At 49.5% G+C, this 7,756-nt stretch overlaps 1 pseudogene across 1 annotated transcript, besides 2 other annotated features; it reads left to right on the top strand.

The window, feature by feature from the left end:
* Positions 270-431: a silencer, noted in NCBI's record as "fragment chr6:29724174-29724335 (GRCh37/hg19 assembly coordinates)". NCBI's record gives its function as "represses an EF-1alpha promoter that drives an FKBP-Casp9 reporter gene in an ReSE screen in HepG2 liver carcinoma cells and K562 erythroleukemia cells {active_cell/tissue: HepG2 | K562}" and the evidence as "EXISTENCE:reporter gene assay evidence [ECO:0000049][PMID:32094911]".
* Positions 4,039-4,711: an enhancer, noted in NCBI's record as "H3K27ac-H3K4me1 hESC enhancer chr6:29719894-29720566 (GRCh37/hg19 assembly coordinates)". NCBI's record gives its function as "activates a minimal SCP1, AML or CMV promoter by ChIP-STARR-seq in naive H9 embryonic stem cells {active_cell/tissue: H9 hESC(naive)}" and the evidence as "EXISTENCE:reporter gene assay evidence [ECO:0000049][PMID:30033119]".
* IFITM4P (interferon induced transmembrane protein 4 pseudogene) lies at positions 5,680-6,021 on the top strand (annotated as a pseudogene). Its single transcript, NR_001590.1, has one exon. The product of NR_001590.1 is annotated as an interferon induced transmembrane protein 4 pseudogene (transcript).
* The last annotated feature ends 1,735 nt before the right edge of the window (positions 6,022-7,756 follow it).

Here is a 7,756-nt window from a genome sequence, read left to right as displayed (position 1 = left end):
GAGCCCAAGAAGCAGGGGCTACTGGGCTGCAGCTCTAAATAGAGATGCCATTCTTTCTACCTGCAGGTCCTGCCAAGCCTAACAGCAGACTTCAGTGATCCCACCTGAACCAGGAATTCGGGATTTTTGATGCTGGTTCTATTTGAGCCATTGTGTAAGCTTAAAAATGTGACATGGAGATTTTGCTGTAATTGTTTCTTTGCTGGAATTTGACATCCACGGTGCCTCTGGCTTCCTGTCTGGTCCCAGGAGGGAATGGATTGTCCAGCACTTTTTTTCAGCATCTCTTTGTGGAGGGGGGATCAGGAGATTTGGAGTCAGGGGCCCCTCCAATCTCACCCTCTTCTCTAATGCAGAGTCCCTTAAGCTTTCTGGGGTGGGGGCGTTGGCACTCTGCGGATCTGATGAATAAAATTGTTCCAGCTCCTGAAATAAAGGCACAGGTGCACATAAATACACTGACTCTTGCATGCAGTGCCAAGGTGAGAAAGTTTCCTATGATAGATGCCGAGTTTAGCACTTTGACTCTCCATTAACATTCACACAGACACACACACAAGCGCGCGCGCACACACAAACACACACACACACACACACACACACACACACACACACACATACAGAGCCAAAGCCAGCGATGCGGGAGGGGCTGACCTCAGGGGCGGGGTCACAGGCATCCCTCAGGTCCTTCTCAGTGGACTTTGTCTCTTTTTCCTGGAGGTGGAGGAGTCTGTACTTCATGAGAAGTCCTCTGAAGAAAGCAGGAGATACTTAGGAGCGGGGAAGTGGAGACAAAGGGGAGGGGGCGAGGCAAGGGGGAAGCACGCAAGAAATGGGGAGGAGGAGGACCTTATAGTGGTCAGAAAAGTCACACGCAGAATTTGGCTCTTGGTTTTTGTGTTTCATTAGGATGGACTTAGAAAACCAGACAGAGTGCGAGATAAGGAGTCTACCTTGCAAAAGACACGTCTTAGTGTCCTCCTAGTTTGAACTCATCAGTAGTAGCTGGGAGAAGGGAGCCGGGACGCCTGTGTGGGGCACGCCCTCTCTAGTTGTTCCCATTCTCTGCACCCCACCGGCTGGTGCCCTTCAACCCCAACAGGAAGGAAAGGAAGGAGGGGTCGGAAGGCTTTGGGTCTTCCCTCGCGCGCCTTCTTCCTCTGCCATTTATTCCCTGAGTGTCCTTGCCTTCCCTCCGCTACCTGATCCCCACCTTAACAAAGCACACTCTGCGCTGTTGGGCCAGGATTCCTCCTTTGGCCTCTGACTCACTGGTACAATTTCGCTGCGTCCTGTCCTTACCGCAGTTGCTACTGGGTAGAGCCGGAGAGAGCATCGCCCAGACCCGCTAGATTCATGCAGCGCCACTGCCCGCACATTCTTGACACTTCTTTAGATCCAAAGTCAGAGCCTGAGTTTTCAGACTAGTTCCGAAAGCCTTTAGCCATTGGAAAGGGGAAATCAATACTCTAGGAACAAAATTTGCTTCGACTTTGTCTCAACCCAAAGACACCATGACGGCGCAGTTTTCAAAGTTGCTTTGAGTATAAATGGAACAGGGTCTCCTGTGTCAGACTCGATTTTGCGTTTCCCTCTTTATTATAGCCCTTCTGTAAATTTTATTACATGTATCTCTACTCCACTAAAAACATTTCTGTCAAAGACACTAAGAAAGAGTCAATGCCATGAAAATATGAAGGATACTCTTAAAAGAGAGTTTCTGGTGTTGAGTTTTAATTAACACTTTGGTATTTAAAAATCTCTAACTATTTGGGTTTGGGGCTTAGCTTCATAATGTTTCAAACTGAGATATACTCTTCCTTAACCTCCATACAAATTCAGGTTTATTTTTATTTTTAATTGCATTTATTTTTCTTTTTTTGAAACAATGTCTCCATTCGTCACCCAGGCTGGAGTGCAGTAACACAATCATAGCTCAATGCAGCCTCGAACTCCTGGTCTCAAGCAATTCTGCCTCACCTTCCAGAGCTGAAATTACAGGTACAAACCACCGGGCCAAGCCAAATCCAAGTTAATACTGTAATATAAAATTCCAACATTTCAGAGAAAGTGAAAATCACCAAGTTATTGTAGTCCCTGGAGTCACTGTCAAGACTTTGGTGAGGGCTCAGTGGCTCACGCCTGTAATCCCAGCACTCTGGGAGGCTGAGGCGGGTGGATCACCTGAGGTCAGGAGTTCGAGACCAGCCTGTCCAACATGGCGAAACCCCATCTCTACTAAAAACACAAAAAATTAGATGGGTATGGTGGCGAGTGACTGTAATTCCAGCTACTAGGGAGGCTGAGGCAGGAGAATCACTTGAACCCTGGAGGTGGAGGTTGCAGTGAGCCAAGATCGCACCACTGCACTCCAGCCTGGGCGACAAGAGCGAAACTCCGTCTCAGAAAAAAAAAAAAAAAAAAAAAAAAAAAAAGGCCAGGCGCGGTGGCTCACGACTGTAATCCCAGCACTTTGGGAGGCCGAGGCGGGCAGATCACGAGGTCAGGAGATCGAGACTATCCTGGCCAACACGGTGAAACCCCGTCTCTACCAAAAAAAAAAATACAAAAAAATACAAAAAATTAGTGTGGTGGCGGGCGTCTGTAGTCCCAGCTACTCGGGAGGCTGAGGCAGGAGGATGGCGTGAACCCAGGAGAATGGCGTGAACCCAGGAGGCGGAGCTTGCAGTGAGCCGAGATCTCGCCACTGCACTCCAGCCTGGGCGACAGAGCTAGACTCTGTCTCAAAAAATAAATAAATAAATAAAACTTTGGTGAGAAATCTTCCAGGTTTTTCCCTACTTAAAATATACATTATGGAAGTGGTATTACTGGCATTATAATTCAGTGTATCCTCATCTTTTAAAAAATGGTTAAAAGTATGAGACGCACACATCTTCTCATAACAATACTTAAAACTGATCTTACCTCTTTTATTGACCCTATAAAATTGTATTGCATAGCAGCTCTTTGGAGTCCGATGGAAATGTTCTACATCTTCATTGTGGTAGTGGAGATGTGGGTGTGTACAACAGCCAAAACACAACGAGCTATGCATTTCAAATAGATACATTTTAGATACATTTTATTGTATGCAAAGCAAGTCCCAATAAAATGGCTTTTAAAATATATCTTCTTTGAGATTTGTACTTTGCTTATGTAAAACAAAACAAAACAAAAACCTTGTTTTTGTGCCCAAGAGACACACCCTGACACATCGGCAGGTAGAGGCTTACGTGTATATATATTACTGTATATTTACAGATTCAGAGAGAGAGACAGAGATAAAGCTATGTTAAGAATATTCATACATACCAAAACTAGATAAAAACCAAAAATAAAAGTTAGAAATAATAAAACTCTATATTTTAAATGTTATTCTCTTCTTCACCTTTTTTCTCCTCTTTCCTTCCTCTCTCTTCCCTTTTTTCTTCAACACGCTCCCCCCACCCCCACCCCCCAGCCATCCTTCCCTACTTTCTCCCTTCTCTGCACTTGATCCCCGGTGTATTCCAGCCTCGAGGCCAACACACGTCACCGCGTCCGCCTGGGGCAGGTCGGGGAAGGGACGCGAGGCGGCGCTGTCACCGCATTCTGAGGGCCGCAGCGCCCTGCGCCCCTGCTGGTCTTGTATCATTTCAGTGAACGTCGCTCCAGTCTTTGATGGGGCCACACTCGGGATGTAAATTTAGGATCCTCACTGAAGGGGCGGGACCCTGAGAGGCTTTCTCCTGGCCCCTTAGTTGTGAGTTTTCCTGCAGGCGGAGGAGCCAGTTTCCGTCAGAACCGCCCAGAGGCAGGCGCTGCCTTCCTGGGGTGGCGGAGCAGCTGGAAGCGTTTTCGGATCCTGGAATCCGTGGGCGGCCCGTGGGAGGGGCTGAGGCGCATTTCCCTACTCACCCGGATCCGAATCCACCGCGGTGCTGTTTCAAGCGAGTCAGATTCCACATCGCGCTCCACCCCGGACTCGGAATTCCTGCCCCACAGGTCTGCATTTTCATAGCGGCAGCTGTGAGTGCCCCGCGGCTGGAGACCAGAAGCCTGAAGGCAACTCCGTCCTCCCCAGCCCACAGCGCCGTTATTCCGTTTCTATATCAGCAAACACTTGTAGACCAGGGCGGGGTAACGGGTGATCTCAGTCCTCGCAGTGAACTCCGGGCCGCAGGCTTGAAAACGCGCGCGGGCGCCCAGCCCAACCCCGCCCTGGGTTCTGTAAGCGACCGCACTGGGTCCTTTCTCTTTCTTTTCCGGACCCAGCAGTGGCGCCTAAAGTCTGTGAGGAGAAAGTCGCCTCTGTGCCCCGGAGTTCAGAGGTCTAAGGCGAGTCCTGAGGAAGAAAACGTAGTTGATGGGGCAGAGCAGAAGGGGCTGGAGGTGGGGTGGAGGGAGAGGGCATTGGACAGAAGGCCTGGGAGACTTGGTGGGGGATGGGCAGCCAGGCCGGGACCCTGGGGAGTGCCTCACCCCGAGCGAGCGGAAGACCATCTGGGCTTCCCCTAGCCCAGAAAGGGTGGATTGGCTTCACCTCTGCTGGCCATCACCTCTACATGCCTTGGAACTAACCTTGTATATTATTATTATTGTCGTTATTTAAGTATTAAAAGTATTTTTTGAGGTGAGCTGAATGAGACCCTTTGCTAGAGCTGGCACAGGGAGGAAGGTCGTCCTGGAGGGAGGGTAGACACTGTGGAGGGAAGGGAGACCTGTGTCAGGAGAGCTGAGACCACCTCTCTGCCCCTCACTACTCTTGTAATCTTTAGGAGTGTAAATAATCCCCCTAAGGTGGGGACAGGACCCCAGTCCCTGCTGTGCGCAATAGATTATGATGATCAAAATAAATAATCAGTGAATGTGGATGGGAAATCTAAGTAATTGTTAAAACCCTGTGATGCTTAAATTTTCACTCACAGAAATGTGTAGGCTAGGAGTTTTAAGAGGAATGGTTAGTAATTATAGGTATAGTTCAGTTTTAAAAAATGTTTGTAAGAGTGACAAAGATAGAATGAACACAGTTCCAGATCATGGACTGTTCATCGTGTAGTGAGGGATGGTACAAGATGGTAGATGACAGCTGGGCATGGTGGCACTCACCTACAGTCCCAGGTACTCAGGAGGCTGAAGTGGCTGGATTGCTTGGGCCCAGGCATCTGAAGCTGCAGTGAGCTGTGATCACACTGATGCCCTCCAACTGGCGGCAGAGTGAGATCTCCCCCTCTTAAAAATAAATAAATAAATAAATAGTAGATGGAGTTCAAGAATGCAGGCAAAGTTGGTACCCATCAGGGAGGTTCAAACCATGGGCTAGAACAGTGGTTCTAAAACTTGCCTACACATTGGAAGCACGTAGAGAGCTTTAAAAGATATTGAAGCTTAGGTCCAACCTAGCCTTACTGATTCAATTGGTTTTGGCTGTGACCTGGGACCGTGGATATTAAAAACTCTCCAGGTGGTTCTGTGAAGTGGCTAGGTTTGAGGACCACTGGCTAGATGTTCCAAAGAGTAAGAGACGTGTGTGTTGGGGACGAGATGATTCTTTCAGTAGAAAGAGGCTTTTGCATGGTGTTTTATTATCGAGATATAATTTATGTGCCACGTAATTTACCATTTAAAAATGTACAGTCCAGGGCCCACTCAGAACCATCCCAGCAACCTGACCACAGCTGGTCTTTGCTGGACACCATGAACCACACTGCCCAAACCTTCTTCATTCCTGCCAACAGTGGCTGCCCTCCCCCGCCCCCCAACCCCAGCTATGAGATGCTCAAGGAGGAGCATGAGGTGGCTGTGCTGGGGGCGCCCCACAACCCTGCTCCCCCAATGTCCACCATGATCCATATCTGCAGCGAGACCTCCGTGTCTGACTATGTTGTCTGGTCCCTGTCCAACATCCTCTTCATGAACCCCCACTGCCTGGGATTCATAGCATTCACCTACTCCCTGAAGTCTAGGGACAGGAAGATGGTTGGAGACCTGACTGGGGCCCAGGCCTATGCCTCCACTGCCAAGTACCTGAACATCTGAGCCCTGATTGTGTGCATCATCATGACCATTCTGCTCACCGTCATCATCCTAGTGTTGATCTTCCAAGTCTGTCGATAGATCAGGAGGCATCATCCAGGCCAGGAGCTCTGCCCATGACCTGTATTCCACATACTCCAACTTCCATTCCTCGTCCTGGCCCCAGAGCTGAGTTCTGTATCAGCGCTTTATCCTCACACACTCTTCTACAATGGCATTCAATAAAGTGCATGTGTTCCTGGTTAAAAAAAAAAAAATGTACTGGTCAGTGGCTTTTAGCATAATCACAACATCGTGCCACAGTTGCTATTATCTAATTGGGAAGATTTTCTTTTTTTAAAGGCTAGTCAAGTAAAGCAGTGGGAGCGGAGAAGGAAAAAAGAAATCTGTAATTGGTTGTGATCAATTAGTTGTAAACACCACTACACTCTGACCAGCCTAATTGGGAAGATTTAAGGATGTGACACGGTCTAATGGGCTCAGAGGCAGAAGCGACAGTAATCTGGAAGCAGGAGACTGCTTAGGCAGTGGCATCCCGGTGGGACAGGGCAAGGAGATTGGGGAGCCCACTTTTACTGCAACACTGGAAAGAGGGATGTCACCAGAAAAATGGGGGTGGTGACAGACAGGAGGTTGTGGCAGCTGTGGCTTCCATGGTAGAGACCTCACGTGTGACATTCAGCAGATGGGGTGCTGTGGGGGTCTTAGAGCACTCTGACTATAGCTGGGACAGTCACAGTGTTTAGGAAGCCTGTACAGTGATCTAGGCTGAATCTTGTGCAGTGATCTAGGCTGAAAGCCGAGACTAAAGTAGTGGCTGTGGGATCAAAATAGGGTTGGAGGAGCTTTGAGTACTTGAGAAGGAAAAGGGGGAAATCAGAAGGCACCACGGAAAGAGAAACAGGGGAGGAAGAGAGGATGATGTCATGCGAGACGTGTAGAGTGTCCTTGTAGACCTGTCACATTGGAAGCTACTATGGTCTCAGAGGTACAGATGTCCTAAAGCAGGCTGGAAAAGGGAGTCTGGGGAGAGCTTGGTGTTGGAGTGGACACTGGCAAGCTGCCTCCTTGGCCTTTTGATCACCCAGGGGCTGAATAGAGAGGCAGCCCCGGGAGACCTCACACACTTACAGGAAGTGACCATAAGAAAGGGGACCTAGCTTTGAGTAAAAGGGAGGAGAAGGAGATTGTAAAGCTGAAACGTCTAAGAGATTTGTCGTCTTAGCGGATCAGCTGGGGCAGGTGCTACAGAAACAGAGGTAGCTGAGGTCTGGAAACAGGTCTGCAAATCTGGTCACTGGCCACATAGCCAGTAACGCTGTGCGCGGCTGAGGGGAGTGTGTTGGAAGAATAACCAGGCCTCGTCTCTTCTGTAAGTGTGTCCTGGAAAGAACAAGCGAATGACAGTCAGCTTGATGGGGTGGCTGGCGAAACGGTCTTGGTGAGGCACGCTATCCTAGGGGTGGGGGTGCGGGGATGGGGTGGTCGCAATACAGGGAGGGCGGCAGGGCCCAGGTCGTGCTCATGCGGTTGGGGCTGTACTCTCAGCTGCTCGGAGCCAGTCCCCGCATTTGGCGGCGCTTCCGCGCGCTCCCCCTTTTCTGGGCTCCAGGTCCCGCCAGCCAAAGTTCTCCAGGTCTCCTGACCGCTGGAACCTTCCCCTTCTGAGTGTGGCCCCGCCCTCCCAGCTCGTGATTGGCCCTAAGCTGCGGGCGCCAGTTTTCATTGGGTGAGCGGT

Source organism: Homo sapiens, chromosome 6 (assembly GCF_000001405.40).
Source record: "Homo sapiens chromosome 6, GRCh38.p14 Primary Assembly".
NCBI classification, from domain to species: domain Eukaryota; kingdom Metazoa; phylum Chordata; class Mammalia; order Primates; family Hominidae; genus Homo; species Homo sapiens.
Note: the sequence above shows the minus strand (reverse complement) of the source record. Positions and strands in the feature narration are given on the sequence as shown.